General features: G+C 54.9%; 1 protein-coding gene and 2 pseudogenes across 3 annotated transcripts in view, besides 3 other annotated features; 2 read left to right on the forward strand and 1 right to left on the reverse strand.

Moving 5' to 3' along the window:
- Positions 1 to 1,355: part of a mitotic recombination region, noted in NCBI's record as "BCR-ABL minor-breakpoint cluster region recombines with the ABL minor-breakpoint recombination sub-region within the ABL breakpoint recombination region, producing the e1a2 transcript", that runs on past the window's edge. NCBI's record gives the evidence for it as "EXISTENCE:nucleotide sequencing assay evidence [ECO:0000219][PMID:20703256]".
- The window catches only part of BCR (BCR activator of RhoGEF and GTPase), a 137,529-nt gene that overhangs the window by 71,327 nt on the left and 49,937 nt on the right, over positions 1 to 16,265 (forward strand). For both annotated transcript variants that reach the window (NM_004327.4, NM_021574.3), the window contains exons 2-4: positions 1,964 to 2,145; positions 9,115 to 9,219; positions 9,520 to 9,705. In NM_004327.4, the coding sequence (NP_004318.3) occupies positions 1,964 to 2,145; positions 9,115 to 9,219; positions 9,520 to 9,705 (473 nt within the window). The remainder of the gene's footprint in view (positions 1 to 1,963; positions 2,146 to 9,114; positions 9,220 to 9,519; positions 9,706 to 16,265) is intronic.
- Positions 5,406 to 6,062: an enhancer, noted in NCBI's record as "H3K4me1 hESC enhancer chr22:23599428-23600084 (GRCh37/hg19 assembly coordinates)". NCBI's record gives its function as "activates a minimal SCP1, AML or CMV promoter by ChIP-STARR-seq in primed H9 embryonic stem cells {active_cell/tissue: H9 hESC(primed)}" and the evidence as "EXISTENCE:reporter gene assay evidence [ECO:0000049][PMID:30033119]".
- RN7SL263P (RNA, 7SL, cytoplasmic 263, pseudogene) lies at positions 9,947 to 10,226 on the reverse strand (annotated as a pseudogene).
- On the forward strand, positions 10,932 to 13,170 carry FBXW4P1 (F-box and WD repeat domain containing 4 pseudogene 1; annotated as a pseudogene). Its single transcript, NR_033408.1, has one exon. The product of NR_033408.1 is annotated as an F-box and WD repeat domain containing 4 pseudogene 1 (transcript).
- Positions 12,334 to 12,583: an enhancer, noted in NCBI's record as "active region_18753". NCBI's record gives its function as "activates an Ori minimal core promoter by ATAC-STARR-seq in GM12878 lymphoblastoid cells {active_cell/tissue: GM12878}" and the evidence as "EXISTENCE:reporter gene assay evidence [ECO:0000049][PMID:35858748]".

The raw sequence follows: 16,265 nt of genomic DNA on the forward strand, positions 1-16,265 counted from the left end.
AAGGGATCCTCACATGAGCCATGGATTGGGCCAGAAGATCCTTGTGGGTTGACAGTGGTCATGATGAGTCCACTGGCTTAGAAAACTCAGGCTGAGAACAGGCCATGGAGGAGCTCCAGATGGCTAAGGCCTTGGAAACACGTGTTGAGCTTTGTCATTCAGCCTGGGAGGAAGGGAGTGATTATCTCCAGGTGCCTCTGGGAGGAATGAATTACTCTGTATAACCAGATAGTCCCAACAGGCAGGGGGCCTCTTGTAGGATAAGCCACTCTGTCCTCCTGCGGGTACTCACATTGGGGTAAGGGTGGTCTGGGATTTCGACAGACCTGCTGGAAGGTGGTCTATGACTCAGCCAGAAGCTGGGCCAGACTGGGGGATGGGGGAACCTGTAGCCCCAGTTCCCTGGGCTGGCATCGGAATAGCATGGTAGGACTCGCTGCTCATGGTGGACAGAACTTGCACCCCAGCCAGCATGCTGGCCTGTGCTCCTCACCCCATCAGACCCCATGGGCAGGTGTGCAAGGTGCAAGGACCGTTCCTGACATCAAGACGGTAACGGTAACATTTTGGGTTTCCCTTTCTTTTTCTTTTCTTTTCTTTTTTTTTTTTTTTTGAGACAGAGTCTTGCTCTGTCACCTAGGCTGGAGTGCAGTGGTGCAATCTTGGCTCACTGCAACCTCCACCTCCCAGGTTCAAGCGATTCTCCTGCCTCAGCCTCCTGAGTAGCTGGGATTACAGGCACCTGCCACCATGCCCACCTAATTTTTTATAGTTTTAGTAGAGATGGGGTTCACCATATTGGCCAGGCTGGTCTCGAACTCCTGACCTCAAGTGATCCACCCACCTCGGCCTCCCAAAGTGCTGGGATTACAGGCATGAGCCACTGTGCCCAGCCAGGGTCCCCCTTTCTATAGCAACCCAACCCCCCTGTATGGGGGAGAACCAACTGTTTTCTCTGTACACAAGCTCAACGCAGAACACTTATGTGACCAAATGTAGGGGTTTTTCCCACACCAAGCAGTTCTCTGCAGACACCAGCTGGGTGTCCTACAATTTCAACTCAGTTTTGACATTGTCTACCTGGAGTTAGCATCAGATCCCACTGTTAAGGGCTCAGCTCCAGAAGACTGCCCCTAACGTCAGGTGTCAGTAGCAAGTCCAGGTTATCTATTGGCCGTAAATTGGAGGTTCCTACAGCCCCCTCCTTGAGTTTGATCACTTGCTGGAACGGCTCAGAGAACTCAGGAAAATAACTTACTAGCTGACTGGTTTTTAATACAAAGATACAACTCAGGAACAGCCATATGGAGGAGGTGCACAGAGGAAGGTCTGTGGGAAGGGGTGCAGAGCTTCCATGCCCTCTCGGGGCACTGCCACATTTTCAGCAACCTGGAAGCTCTCCTAACCCTGGCCTTTTGGACAGCCCTCATTGTGTAGGCATGATTGATTACGTCACTGGCCATTGGTGATCAACTCAACCTTCAACTGTGGGTCTTCCCCAGAGAGTTGGGGGTGCCAACTCTCTAATCGTGTGGTTGGTTCTCCCGGCAACCAGCCCCCTTCCTGAGGCTATCCAGGAGCCCCAGCCACCTGTCATTTACTAGCACACATAAAGACATGTATTACTTTGGAGATTCCAAGGGTTTTAGGACCTGCATGCCAGGAAAGTAGAGGGTGGGATATGCAAAGATCAAATATACATTTCTTAAGTCACAACCCCCTGCCAGGGGCAGACGTATCTCAGAAAGCCCCTTGTATTGTCTAGGGAGTGAGCTCATGTTCATCCCCCCTCACCTTGTGGTCTTTGACCAGTCAGTTGTGAAGGGGACGTCAGCATACCCGAGGTCGTTGTGAGATGCCTGTTGGGGACAGAGATGGTGTCAGCTGGGTGCTTGCTGGGATGGGTTGAGTATGGATGCTCCCTTCTCTGTCTCTAACACAGGATGCTTCTTTGCACACACAGATGGCTCGTTCGGAACACCACCTGGATACGGCTGCGCTGCAGACCGGGCAGAGGAGCAGCGCCGGCACCAAGATGGGCTGCCCTACATTGATGACTCGCCCTCCTCATCGCCCCACCTCAGCAGCAAGGGCAGGGGCAGCCGGGATGCGCTGGTCTCGGGAGCCCTGGAGTCCACTAAAGCGGTGAGTCCCCATGGTGTACGTGTGGCAGGAGGGCCAGGTGAGGCTCCCTGAAGCGCAGCCCCATGCTCAGGGGTATGTAGCAGGTAGGTGGTGGAGCAGCCAATGGTTTGGAAGCGAGTGGGTCACCAAAAACTCCTTCCTCATCTCTACATGTGGTACACAGACAGCCTGCCAGATGTGTTGATCAGGGAGATCGGGGGATGCTTTGAACTGAGCGTGGAGGAGGCAGGCAGCATGTGGTCTTGAGGCTGAGAATGTCAGCACCAGAGGCCACCACCAAGACCTGCGTGGTGGCGCCGGCAACACTCCTGAGCCAGGTGGTGTCTGGGCTTGGGTCCCTTTGCTTCATAGCCTTCTTGCTCCCTTTTACCAAAGCGTGTGCTGAGGATGGCTCCATCCATGTGACCAGAGCCTTTCCTGTGAATTTTCACTTGACCCTCATTAATAATTCTTGGCCTTTCTGTCACTTCCACTTTACAAAGGTGAAACTGAAGTCCAGTGGTGGCTTCCCCAAGGTCTCATGGCTAGTGAGTAGCGGCACATTCAGTAGATGCTCTGCCATGCCCTCCAAGAAAGCAGTGGACCCACGCCCCCCCTCACATGAGAACGTAGCCCGGGCTGGTTGCAGGCTGGATGGTGCTGGACCGCCCGGCCCTGCATGAAGTTCTGATTCCTCTTGCTGGTCCCACAGCTCAGGGGGCTGCTTCAGCAATGCTCTGGGGCCCAGATGCTCACCCCTTGCCATTGGTGCATGTCCCCCCACTTGACCTCTTGGGTTCCTTACTTCTTGGGCTGAGAAAATCACTGCCCCAGGGCAGTTGCTCCTTTTTGTCTTTTTGGTCCCTGATGACAGATTACTTCCGCACTCTGCTTAGCTTATTTCTAGATGGTTTCCACCATAGCCTGGCATGGTGGCTCACACCTATAATCCCAGCGACTCAGGAGGCTGAGGTGGGAGAATTGCTTGAGTCCAGGAGCTCGAGACTGCAGTGAGCTGTGATTCTCACCACTGCACTCCAGCCTGGGCAACAGAGCAAGACCCTATCTTTAAAAATAATAATAAAAAAATAAATAAAAAGAGCAAGAGAGAGATGGACTTTTCCCCATTTCTGTAAGGAAGCTCCAGAAGTGTATCTTCTCACTGAGCTGCTTTTTTCTGGGGCTGACATGTTAGCTGCACGCCTGGGACTGCTGCTTACGTATATACTTTTGTGATTTCTGAAGGCCTTGGTGCTGGGCAGGCTTCTCATTCTGAACCGAGAGGATGGGAGAGGAAGCCAGTGGGTAACATGTACCTGCTCCGTGCAGCACACACAGGCTGCTGCCTTAGGTAGCTTCCTATCCCACGTCGAGTGTCAGCTTTTTACAGACTAGGAGGCCGAGGTTCAGAGAGGTGAAGTAACTTGCTTGGGCCACACAGCTCCAGGGTTTGAAGCCTTCCTGATTCTTCAATGGGCACACTTTCCCTCCCTCAACTGTCTTGTCTTTCTTGGTGCACCCCTTTCTTGCTGCATTGTGAGCGTGGTTTGGTACAAAGAAGGACCAAGTTCAGGTAGGCTAAGTGCTGAACTTGAGAAAGGCAATTTCTTTCCATCATTCTTGAGGGCTATCTGCACCCAGCCAGTCCTTGATGCAGTTCCTGGCCCCGAAAGGAAGCTGATCTGCCCACTCAGTGCCCCAGTCCCTGTCCGGGGGTGGGGGCCTCCCACCCACACCTGGCTCTGACTTGGAGTACAGCCTTCACCTTTCAGTCCAGGGCTTCTCCTCTGTGAAGCCACTCCAGATCCTGGTCCCCCGACCCCTGCTCCCTGCTTCTGCCCTCACAGGAGCTGTAGATGTTTCTCGTGGTGCACATCCTGCAGGAGGTTGCACGTCTCTGCCTGTCAGGTCCAGAGTTTCCAATCCCAAGCACGCCCCTTGGCCCAGAGCTGGTCTGAAGAGGAGGGGATTTGATTGGAGGAGAACTGTGTGTAGCTCCTTTCCAGAAACCTTCTGGTGCTCTTCCCAGTGGTTGGGGCCCCAGGACGGGTACCCTTCACTGCTCTGGAGACAAGCATAGCCTTGACTTCCTGGTTTCCCTGCCAGCCATGCAACAAGCCATGCAAATGTCATCTTTCATTTCTGATCTTTGGTTTGAAGACATGGCTGTCGCTTCCTAGGACACCTGACTTCCCCCAGGGAGCATGGTGATCTTGAGGCCAGAGGCACCCTGATCCTGACCATCCAGTGGGAAATGGGCATCAGGCTGCTCATCCCTCTCCTCCTGCACGCCACCCACCCCTCATTTGGTCCCAGATGCTGATCTTGAGTCTTTGGGGTGTCAGTGGACTCCTGTGGCATGGGTCTTCTCTGTGAATACCCACTCGTAGTGCAGACAGAGGCTGGACAGAGGCCAGGCACCCCCTTGCCCGGGGTGCTGTGGGAAGGATTCACACAGGCTGGCCTGTTGCGACAACCTGCAGCCCCAGGACCCTGTACAGAGGCCAGCCCCTTGCCCTCTGGTATGCCTTGAGGGCCAGGTTCTTGGGGTGTTCGCCGGCTGGGCCGCAGGACAATGTCCAGTCTGTTGGTAATGAAAACCTGCCCTTGCCCAGAGCAAGAGGGTCCTTTCTCCAGCAGCTGTGCTAGCTACACACTCCCAGCCCAGAGCAGCCTGCCCCTCGCAGTAAGGGTTTTGCACCCTGATCACCACTGGGCTCCCCCAGATTAGGGGGACTAGGAGGAGGGACTAGAAGGGGCCTCTTTGCACTCTGCCCTGTCCTGAAGCTCAGTTCCAGCTCCCGCCCTCAGTTCACCCGTGGGCCTGGTAGCCAGCTGACAACAGTTTTATTCACCTGTTCTCTGTTGGCTTTTCCTGCTTGGTTGTCACAAGCCCAGTTTGTTTTGTGGGTTCTTTATTGGCTTTTATTTAGCCTCAAGTTTTGTGTTTGTACCCACCTAGGTAGGGTCATGGTAGGAGGGCCTTCCTTCCATGTCACTGACTTCTTTTTCCAATTTCCCTTTACCTCCGGCTTCCTACCCGCCCCAGCCTCCTTGCCTGCCTCCATGGCCCTCCCTGCATTCACGTCCTTTCCCATAACTGGCACAAGCACAGCCCTGAGTTATAAATAGCCCCAGGCCAGGCCCTGCCCTTTGCTCTCTCGTTTTCTCTGCATGGACTTGGCTGATTTCTGAGCCATCCCTGTCTGATGCCATCAGCACTATTCAGGACTCTAGAAGATTCTTAGTCTAAGGAGAAGTGCCTCATCCTGAGTCTTGTCTCCACCCCACCCCGTCCATGCCCTGAGCCAGATGTTCCCTGAGCGGCCCCGCCCTTCAGAACACGGAGGGAGAGCCAGATTCTGCCTTCCTGCCTGTGCTGTTTTTCCTCCTGGCTTTCCAAACCATGTGGACAGAACGAGACACAGTGCTCCCACCCACGCCGGCACAAGCATCTCACACTGGGTGGGGCTGTCATGGGCCCTGCTGCCCTAGCAGCCTCCCTGGGCCCTACAGGCCGCCTGGTACTCATAGTAGCAAGATTGTCCTTAGAACATGAGCACGGCTGGCAGGCTGGGTGGATGGGTGGCGCTGCCCAAGGGACCCACCATTCCCTTCACCTCTTCTCCTCTTGTGGAGCAGGGAGCGGCATCTGCACACAGTAGGAGGCACCTGCAGGGGCAGCTGGGGTGCTTTCCCCAAAGACTCCACCATTCATGATGGGCAGAGAGGGGGTGTCATAGGTCGCCCCACCCTACGTGTATGTGCACCATGGGCAGCAGACTTGCTGAACTTGGGTAGCATTTCAGGGCACCAAGGCAGGCTCAACTGACAGCCCTGGGTTCCTTGGACCCAACTGTCTCCAAGTGAGAGTACGGAGACCCTGAAGGAGCCCTCAGAGATTCATAAAAACGCAGCCAACACTAGGATACAACCAGGTGTTTAAGATCCACTCATTGATTTATTAAATGAATCTTAATTGAGCACCTGGGTGTTCTGGGCACTGTGCTAGACAGGGAAGTTCCTAGCTCAGGCACAGCCGTGGCCTGGAGGCTCCCACCCGTGGAGTCACTGCCTACCCTGCCCTGGGGGGACAGGTGTGCATGGAACCTGCGTGTCCTTTTCCTTGGAGCTGCTCTCAGCCCAGATCTTGATGGCTGTCCCCCCCACACACATGTACGTGTGTATAAATGCATATATATACACACATATACACAGGCACCCGGGCATGCTGACACCTCATGCATACATTCACACAAGTGTGCACACACTTAGGAGATTCCCAGGGCAAAAAGGTGGCCCAGGAAGGCTTTTTAGATGGTCCCAGTGGGCAAGTGAGGATGTGTGGTCCAAGCCCCAGGGACTCAAATGGGGCACAGGGTGGGGCTCCCTCCCCGGGCAGTGGAGGCTCAGGGCCGGAGGGCATTTGCCTGAGACCATGGGGCAGGCCAGGCCCTGGGCACTTCGTGTTGAACCTGCTGTCTATACCATGACATGCCTCCCTCCTAGAGGGCCAGGGAAATAGGACAGCAGGGTTGGGAGTAGGCAGGGGCTGTGCTGGGACCCTGATTCCAAATTCTACAGATACCATGAGGCCTGAGCTGACCTCAGTCAGATCCTTCCTCAAACCCATCAGTTCTCACTGGAGGTGATTCTGCTCCCAGGGCATGTGTGGCAGCGCCTGGAGACATTGTGGCTGCCACACCTCGGGGGAGAGGGTGTTACTCACATACGATAGGTAGAGGCAAGGATGCTGCACAGAATCCTGCAAGGCACAGGATGCCACCCAGCCCCTGACAGAGACTCCTCCGGGCCTAGATGTCAGCGGGGCCAACGAGAAGCCTGCCCGCAGCCAGTGATTTTCCCCGAAAGTGGGAAAGTGAGTGATCAGGGACCACCGCCCCAGTTCCACGCCTGTGAGCCCAGCAACCAGTGGAGAAGTGGACGGGGCTGTCACAGACACCGGACCTGGCACCACCCCCACCCCCCGCACCCACACACTTTCCTCTGACTGCAGGCAGGGCCATTGGGCACAGGCGGAACAAAGGGAGCACGGCCTCAGCCCGGTGGAGCACTGAGGTGCTGCCATGGGCATGGCCAGCCTCCAACATTGCCAGTGGCCAGGGAGTAGGCGGGAGTGGCCAGGAAGTCAGGTGGCGATTTCTGTGGCCTTTGGCATCATCATCTTTGGTGTCATGCCTTTGCTGGGACTGTTGTAACAAAGCATCACAGACTGGGGGGCTTAAAGAACAGGAGTTTATTTTCTCCTAGTCCTGGAGGCCTGAAATCCAAGATCAAGGGGTGGGCAGGGTTGGTTTCTTCTCGGGCCCCTCTCCTGGGCTTGTCTTCTCTATGTGTCTTCACATAATGTTCCCTCCATTTGAGTCTGTGTCCTGACCTCTTCTTTTACAAGCACCCCAGTCCTGGTGGGGTAACATGGCTCATGCCTGTAATCCCACCACTCTGGGAGTTTGAGGTAGAAGGACCGCTTGAGCTCAGGAGTTTGAGACCAGCCTGGGCAACATGACAAGACCTTGTTTCTATTACCAAAAAAAAAATTTTTTTTTTTTTTTTGAGATGGAGTTTCGCTCTTGTTGCCCAGGCTGGAGTGCCACAGCATGGTCTCGGCTCACTGCAACCTCCCCCTCCTGTGTTCAGGCAATTCTCCTGCCTCTGCCTCCCAAGTAGTGGGGATTATAGGTGCCCGCCACCACACCCGGCTAATTTTTGTATTTTTAGTAGAGACGGGGTTTCACCATGTTGGCCAAGGCTGGTGATCTCGAACTCCTGGCCTCAGGTGATCTGCCCGCCTCGGCCTCCCAAACTGCTGGGATTACAGGCGTGAGACATTGAGCCTGGACCCCCCAAAAATGTTTAAGTTAGCAGAGCGAGGTGGTGGGTGCATGAGGTCCCAGCTACTTGGGAGGCTCAGATGGGAGGATGACTTGAGCCTGGGCTCTCAAGGCTGCAGTAAGCTGTGACTGTGCCACAGCGCTCCAGCCTGAGCGACAGAGTGAGACATCGTCTCAAAAAAAACAAAAAAGAATGTGACATATGGAACCTTTTGGCTTCAGTTTACCTTAAAGGCCCTGCCTTCAGATACGGTAACGTTCTAAGGTACTGGGGGTTAGGGCTTCCACGTGAATTTGAGTGGGGAGGGGAGATGTTATCATAACTAGGACTAGAAGGTGGCCTCCCAGGGGCATGGGCTCTGTCCCCTACATCAACATCCAACAATGTGTCAGCTTCATCATTTGGAGACAAAAACAGTAGAGCTTCCCTGAACTTTCAGCAGGGACGCTAATGAGAAGGGGGGACTTTGTCATAGCCCACATGTAAGAGGGTCCCTGCCAGTCCAGTGATGTCAGGGTCTAAAAAGCAGGGTCAGGGGACACAGGCCTTGAGCCCCAGGGACAGGGTTCTTCTGGGGCAGATGGTAGCAGTCCCTGTGGCTGGGAGGGAGGGCATCTGGAGAAGGCGGTGCTGCCTGGGCCCCGTCAATCGAAGGGTCATGTGGCGGCAGCAGTCAGAGAATCCAGGTGAGGCGGGCCCCAGGTGAGCAGTGGGGAGTGGAGTTTGGCTGCAGCAGAAGCCAGGTGGCCATGCTGTGGGCTCTGACGCCCCCTCAGGTCAGAGCCTCCTTCTCCTTCCCTGACTGTGTCAGGCAGCTGCCCTTGGGTTGCATGCAGAAGCGTGGAGGGAGGCCTGGCCCAGCCTGCTCCGCACCAAACTCTGTTTCGTGGTCTGGCAAGAGTAAGGGTGGCCCTGGTGTTGCCAGATGACCCCCCTCCCCGGGATTCTCAGTGACTGTGAGTGTGTGGCTTAGTATGTGCGGAGGGTCCCCTGCCTCCCTTTAATTCCATGTGGAGCCTTTGTGGGGGCAGGGGTTTGTCCAGAGGTCAACAAGCTGGCCCTCCTCTCTCAGAGGGCCCTGATGGAAGAATCCCCCTACCACCCTTCCAGGCTGACTTCTGTCTATTTCTCCTGCAGAGTGAGCTGGACTTGGAAAAGGGCTTGGAGATGAGAAAATGGGTCCTGTCGGGAATCCTGGCTAGCGAGGAGACTTACCTGAGCCACCTGGAGGCACTGCTGCTGGTGAGGAGGATTTAGGGAGCTGAGCAGGGCGGGATGGGGCAGGGTGACAGGGTTGGGGAGCCTCTTTGCCCTTAAGTCCCAGGTCAGCTGTCAGAGCCTGGGTGCAGCTCGCCATCCCTGGAGTGGATACCAGTGGAAGACTGAGTTGCCAAACCAAGCTGGTTTTAAAATTGTATTTGTTATGTGATTTAAAAATAAAAGTGCATATGTCAGGTAACCATGACTGTCTACTGCCATACAATGCACCTGACGGATGGCAGCCCCTCTCACCTGTGCTACCTCACTTGTGCCCTCTTCCAGCCCATGAAGCCTTTGAAAGCCGCTGCCACCACCTCTCAGCCGGTGCTGACGAGTCAGCAGATCGAGACCATCTTCTTCAAAGTGCCTGAGCTCTACGAGATCCACAAGGAGTTCTATGATGGGCTCTTCCCCCGCGTGCAGCAGTGGAGCCACCAGCAGCGGGTGGGCGACCTCTTCCAGAAGCTGGTGAGTAACCCAGGGCCGGTGCTGGGACTACAGGCGTGTACCACCACGTCCAGCTAATTTTTTGCATTTTTAGTAGAGACAGGGTTTTGCTATGTTGGCCAGGCTGGTCTCAAACTCCTAACCTCAAGTGATCCACCTGCCTCAGCCTCCCAAAGTACTGAGATTACAGGCGTGAGCCGCCATGCCCAGCCTTTTTTTTTTTTTTTCTAATTTATATTTATTTAGATAGTTATTTTTAAAAAGAGATGGGGACTTACTACGTTGTCCAGGCTGGAGTGCAGTGGCTATTCACAGGCGCAATTCCACTGCTCATCAGCACGGGAGTTTTGACCTCCTTCCTTTCCAACCTTGGCTGTTTCACTCCTTCTTAGGCAAACTGATGGTTCCCGACTCCTGGGAGGTCACCATATTGATGCCAAACTTAGTGTGTAGTGCACTACAGCCCAGAACTCCTGACTGAAGCCATCCTCCGGCCTCAGCCTTCCGCGTAGCTGGGGCTATAGGTGCACGCCACCACACCCTGTGTGTGGCTGGGACTACAGGTGCACGCCATCACACCCTGTGTGCGCCATCACACCCTGTGTGCACCATCACACCCTGTGTGCACACACTTTCCCTAAAGCAGGCTTCCTCCGCTGGGAAACAAGTCCTCTAGGGGCAGGTGTGGCCAGAGGCCAGGCCCCCCTCTAAGTGTGAAGAGCATGTGATTCCTTAAAAGCCCTTCCCCCAGCACTTCTGGACTACCGAGACACACAGCTCTGGCCTCGGGCCTCCCCTTGGCTGGTGCTGGGGGCTGAGTTTTCTGCTCTGAGGTGTGGCTTTCCTGTAGGGGGACCCCTCCCTCTGCCACCCTGTGCTGCAGACCCCCAGACTCCAGGCCAGAGCTAAGGCTTGAGGAACACAGAAGGCACTTAATTTGTTCCAGTTCTTGCTCCCTGGGGCTCTTTCCCCCATGGCCAGAGAGCAGGAGGCTGTATTTTGATACATGCTGCCCCCTCCATCTTTGAAGCCCCCCCACCCCCGTTTCTCCGTGTGTGTGTCAGCAGTTTTAAACCTAGTGGAGGGTGGTGGCTCGGGCTGGGCTCCGCGTCGGGCTGCCCCGCAGCTGCTCTTGGGCAGCCAGGGCCGCTGGGTGTGGGGCCGCCGGGAATGGCGGGCCCGGGTGAGGGCGGGCCCGGGTGAGGGCGGGGGCGGAGAGGCGAAGAAGCTGCAGGAAGGGAGGGTGACGAGGGGGAAGCGAAGGAAGGGGAAGAGGAAGGGAAAAGCGAGCGAGAGGGGCAAGGCGGAAGAGGAAGCAGGGCGGAAGGGAAGCCCGGGCCGCAGACGGCGAAGGAGGCAGCGGGCCGGGGGCTGAGGCGGGAGCGAGGACACGCCCAAGAGAGGAAGCAGAGGGAGGCGGAAGCGTGGAGGAAGGGGCGAGAGGCATCATCAAAGGAGATGAGGGGAGCGTAGGGGCCGGGAAAGAGGCACAAGGAAGAAAGTATGGGAAGGAGGAATGGAGGGTCAGGGCTAGGCGGCGGGAGGGCGCCAGGCCGGGAAGAGTACAAGGACAAGGAGGTCAGGTTTGGGCCTACATCCCGGGGACAGGGGCGGCCATGGCGGCGGCAGCCAGGGAGGAGGAGGAGGAGGCGGCTCGGGAGTCAGCCGCCTGCCCGGCTGCGGGGCCAGCGCTCTGGCGCCTGCCGGAAGTGCTGCTGCTGCACATGTGCTCCTACCTCGACATGCGGGCCCTCGGCCGCCTGGCCCAGGTGTACCGCTGGCTGTGGCACTTCACCAACTGCGACCTGCTCCGGCGCCAGATAGCCTGGGCCTCGCTCAACTCCGGCTTCACGCGGCTCGGCACCAACCTGATGACCAGTGTCCCAGTGAAGGTGTCTCAGAACTGGATAGTGGGGTGCTGCCGAGAGGGGATTCTGCTGAAGTGGAGATGCAGTCAGATGCCCTGGATGCAGCTAGAGGATGATGCTTTGTACATATCCCAGGCTAATTTCATCCTGGCCTACCAGTTCCGTCCAGATGGTGCCAGCTTGAACCGTCAGCCTCTGGGAGTCTGCTGGGCATGATGAGGACGTTTGCCACTTTGTGCTGGCCACCTCGCATATTGTCAGTGCAGGAGGAGATGGGAAGATTGGCCTTGGTAAGATTCACAGCACCTTCGCTGCCAAGTACTGGGCTCATGAACAGGAGGTGAACTGTGTGGATTGCAAAGGGGGCATCATATCATTGTGAGTGGCTCCAGGGACAGGACGGCCAAGGTGTGGCCTTTGGCCTCAGGCCAGCTGGGGTAGTGTTTATACACCATCCAGACTGAAGACCAAATCTGGTCTGTTGCTATCAGGCCATTACTCAGCTCTTTTGTGACAGGGACGGCTTGTTGTGGGCACTTCTCACCCCTGAAAATCTGGGACCTCAACAGTGGGCAGCTGATGACACACTTGGACAGAGACTTTCCCCCAAGGGCTGGGGTGCTGGATGTCATATATGAGTCCCCTTTCGCACTGCTCTCCTGTGGCTATGACACCTATGTTCGCTACTGGGACTGCCGCACCAGTGTCCGGAAATGTGTCATGGAGTGGGAGGAGCCCCACAACAGCACCCTGTACTGCCTGCAGACAGATGGCAACCACTTGCTTGCCACAGGTTCCTCCTTCTATAGCGTTGTACGGCTGTGGGACCGGCACCAAAGGGCCTGCCCGCACACCTTCCCGCTGACGTCGACCCGCCTCGGCAGCCCTGTGTACTGCCTGCATCTCACCACCAAGCATCTCTATGCTGCGCTGTCTTACAACCTCCACGTCCTGGATATTCAAAACCCGTGACCGTCAGGGCCACCCCTGCCTGTGGGCCAAGGAGACCAGTGAGTCAGGGACCTCTCTTGCATGAAGGGTGCAGTGATAGTTCCTCCCCACTGCCCCACTGTGCTCCTGGGCCTGTGACCCCAGTGCTCAGGCACCTTGCAGTAGAGGCTTCTGACTCCTGGAGCTTTGTGGCTTACCAGAGATGCAGTCCCTCCCAGGAACCTGTTGGAGAGGCAGGACCTGCTGCTTTAGAGGAGTGCAGCTGAACCTCGGCCCTGCGACTCTGTTTGGCCAGAGCAAGGATCTGGCCTGGAGAGGCCCATCCTACACCCCTTATTAGAGCCGTGATAGCCTACAGAGTGAGGTGAGGTTCTCCCGCCTTCCCAGGTGGTTTCTTTCTGCCACTTCCTGGAAAGAAAGGTGAGGCTGCCAATAGCCCGCTAGCACCAGCCAGACCTCACGCTTGACCAACCTCTCGGGGCCAGAGGTTCATTCCTGGGGCACTGTGGCCTGGTTTTGTTTTGAAACCAAGAGAGGGCAAAGGGAACCCAGCAGTTCTGAGTGAGTTCTAGCCAGCCCTACCTCAGGCTGGCTGTTGAGAGATTTTACAATTTTCATTTTTGTAAAAATAAAGCTTGATTGTTCACAGAAAAAAAAAGAAAAAAAACCTAGTGGACGTGACTTGGCCTGCCGCCCTCCTGAGAAATGGAGAATCGTGTTGTTGGGGGGAAAAAAACACACATCCAGAGCTCTTTGCCAGATAATATTCCGAAATCACTCAGAGACTTTTTTAAAACTTTAATATCTGAGGAACACTGGAATTTAACTTTGGAAGGTTTCCGCTGGCTGCCCTGGAGGCCTTGAGCTACCTTCATGCGTCAGATGATGCAGCCGGAAGACTCGGAGGAGAGGCTGGCGTTGCAGTGGGAAGTTGTTCCCCATAACGACGAGCTGAGTACTCACGTGTGTTCAACCTGGGCTGGGTGCTGGGGACTCCCCAAGGACAGATAGGCCCGGTGCCTGCCCTTGTCCCCATGACCAGCTCAGTAGGGTTGGCCCAGCATCGCTCTGTCAGGTTTCCGGGTTGGACAAGTCTTAGGACCAAAGGAGCTTGCAGTGCCCTTCCCAGCTCCGGTGCCTCTTCCAAGCCCAGGAACTCGTGATCCACGTCCAGTGGTTCAGAAAGCCAGACTCAGATGCGGCTTCTGCCACCTCCTCCTGTGGGGCTGCACGGGCTGACTTCCCTGCTCTGGGTTGTGGTTCTGGCTGAAGTTTTATCAACTCAGAATTTTTATTTTTCTAATTATTTCAAACTTACAGGAGAACTGTAAGAATGGGGCAAAGAGCTCTAGTATAGCCTTCATCCAGATACACTGATGGGAACTTTTTGCCACATTTGCTTTATCTCTTTCTGTGCACACGCAAACGCACATAGACACATACACACACAAGCACAAGAAGTTTTCCCCCTGAATACTTCATTTGCTAAGAACAAGGACATTCCTATAACTCACAGTAGAATTTGTCAAATTCAGGAAATTTCACATTCATGAGATACTATTATTTAATATGTAGTTCATATAAACTTCCCCCAAGTTAACAATTACATTCTTCACAGCTGTTTTCATTCTCTGATTCAGGACCCGGTTTAAGATCATGTTATGTACTTGGTTGTCCCATCTCTCTAGTCTCCTTCCATCTGTACCAGTTCCTTAGACTTTGCTTGTCTTCCATGACCTTGACTTTTTTTTTTTCTTTTTCCTTGAGATAGAGTCTCACTCTGTCGCCCAATCTGGAGTACAGTGGTGCAGTCTTGTCTCACTGCAACCTCTGCCTCCTGGGTTCAGGCGATTCTCCTGCCTCAGCTTCCCTGAGTAGCTGGGACTACAGGCACGTGCCACCATGCCCAGCTAAATTTTTTTGTGTTTTTAGTAGAGACAAGGTTTCACCATGTTGGCCAGGCTGGTCTCAAACTCCTGACCTCAGGTGACCCGCCCGCCTCAGCCTCCCAAAGTACTGGGATTATAGGCATGAGCCACCGCACCCTGCCTTTTTTTTTTTCCCTTTTGGAGATGGAGTCTCGCTCTGTCACCCAGGCTGGAGTGCAGTGGCGTGATCTTAGCTCCTTGCAACCTCTGCCTCCCAGGTTCAAGCGATTCTCCTGTCTCAGCCTCCCGAGTGGCTGGGATTATAGGCATGCGCCGTCACGCCCGTCTAATTTTTGTATTTTCAGTAGAAACTGGGTATTGCCATGTTGGCCAGGTTGGTCTTGAACTCCTGACCTCAGGTGATCTGCCTGCCTCGGCCTCCCAAAGTGCTAGGATTACAGGCCGCCGTGCCCAGACAACCTTGACATTTTTTGAAGGGCACAGGCCCACTCGGGTTTGCCAGTTTCCTCAGGAATAGCCTCACGTTCTGCGTAACAGCACCACAGCAGCGAGGCTGTGTGCTTCTCAGTGCATCAGATCCGGAGGCACATTTTTGATTAGTGAAAAATGTGGAAAGGAATTGCTTAGAACTTTGCACAAGCCACCTGGAAGATGTGAGCTCCTGGAGCAGGAGGGAGGAGAAGTCTTGAAAGGAGTCCTCTTCCCAAGACCCCTGAGACCCTGCTGAGCTGTCACCTCTTCTGAGAGGCTGTCCTGGTCCTGACCACATTCTCAAAAGCAGTCTCCTTGCTCTCAGTCCCTGTCCTGCTTATAACCATCTGCCATTACTTTGCTTGTGTGTGTTCATGCATGTGTTTATCAGGCACTGTCCTGTTAGAACACCAGCTTCAGAGGGCAGCGCCGTGTCTGAATTGTTTACCACTGCGGTGACAAGGCCTAAAGCAGGCCCTTGGCTGCTTTGTACCAAGGCTGGGAGGCACTCAGTGACTTGCAAAGGAGGGAGGAGGGAAAGAAGGAAGAGCTCTGGGCCTCATCACTGCACGGATGAGGAAGAACCTAGAATTGGAGGATGCAAGGACTCCTCCAGGTGGTCAGCATGGCAGGGGCCTGGCAGGTGTCTTCCAGCTGCTACCCTTTCCTCGTACACTCTAAGACCCTTCTTGCAGCCCTTGTAGGGAGCAGGGCCAGAAGATCAGACAGTGCCAAGGGTGCCTGGTTTATCCAGCATCTGGGATTGTCATCTGTAGAAACATAAAATTCAATATAAATGCAAATGCACATGGAAATAAAATTTAGGTTTGACACAAAACAAACACCAGGAGCCGTGAATGCCTTGGGCTTCCAGCTTGCAGTCAGCTACAGTGGGAGTCTCCAGCCCTGACCAGTGCATCTCCTGGGTCTGCCCTTATACTCCCCAGGCCTAGGTTTGCTGATTTTTCCCTCGCTGCCCATAAAGGTGTTGTGGGGCCCAGAGATGGCAGTGTCTGCTGCACTCACACAAGTTGTTGCTGAATCGAGTGTGTGTCTGAGCTGGAGGTGCAGTGAGGAGATCTATTATTGCCATTGGTTTAATAAAGAACAAACAACACCTCTCGCCTTACAGCCGGTCGGTCTCCCCCCACCAGGTGTGTAGCATGACACCTGAGCACCCTCACCAGGCCCAGGATGGGCTTGTGTCTGTGCAGTGGGAGGCTCTCTTCTGCAAAGACGGCCGGACTTGGCATTTCTTATGTGTCTGAAGGGACTGGACATGCGTGGAACACCATGGGTGGGAAAGGGGGTGACCTCTGTGTCCAGGGTACACTCTTGCAGCCAGAATGGGAAAGTGCTGAGCACAGACACTTGTCCAGATTCACTGACAACCTCAAACTTC

This window comes from Homo sapiens, chromosome 22 (genome assembly GCF_000001405.40).
Source record: "Homo sapiens chromosome 22, GRCh38.p14 Primary Assembly".
Taxonomy (NCBI): domain Eukaryota; kingdom Metazoa; phylum Chordata; class Mammalia; order Primates; family Hominidae; genus Homo; species Homo sapiens.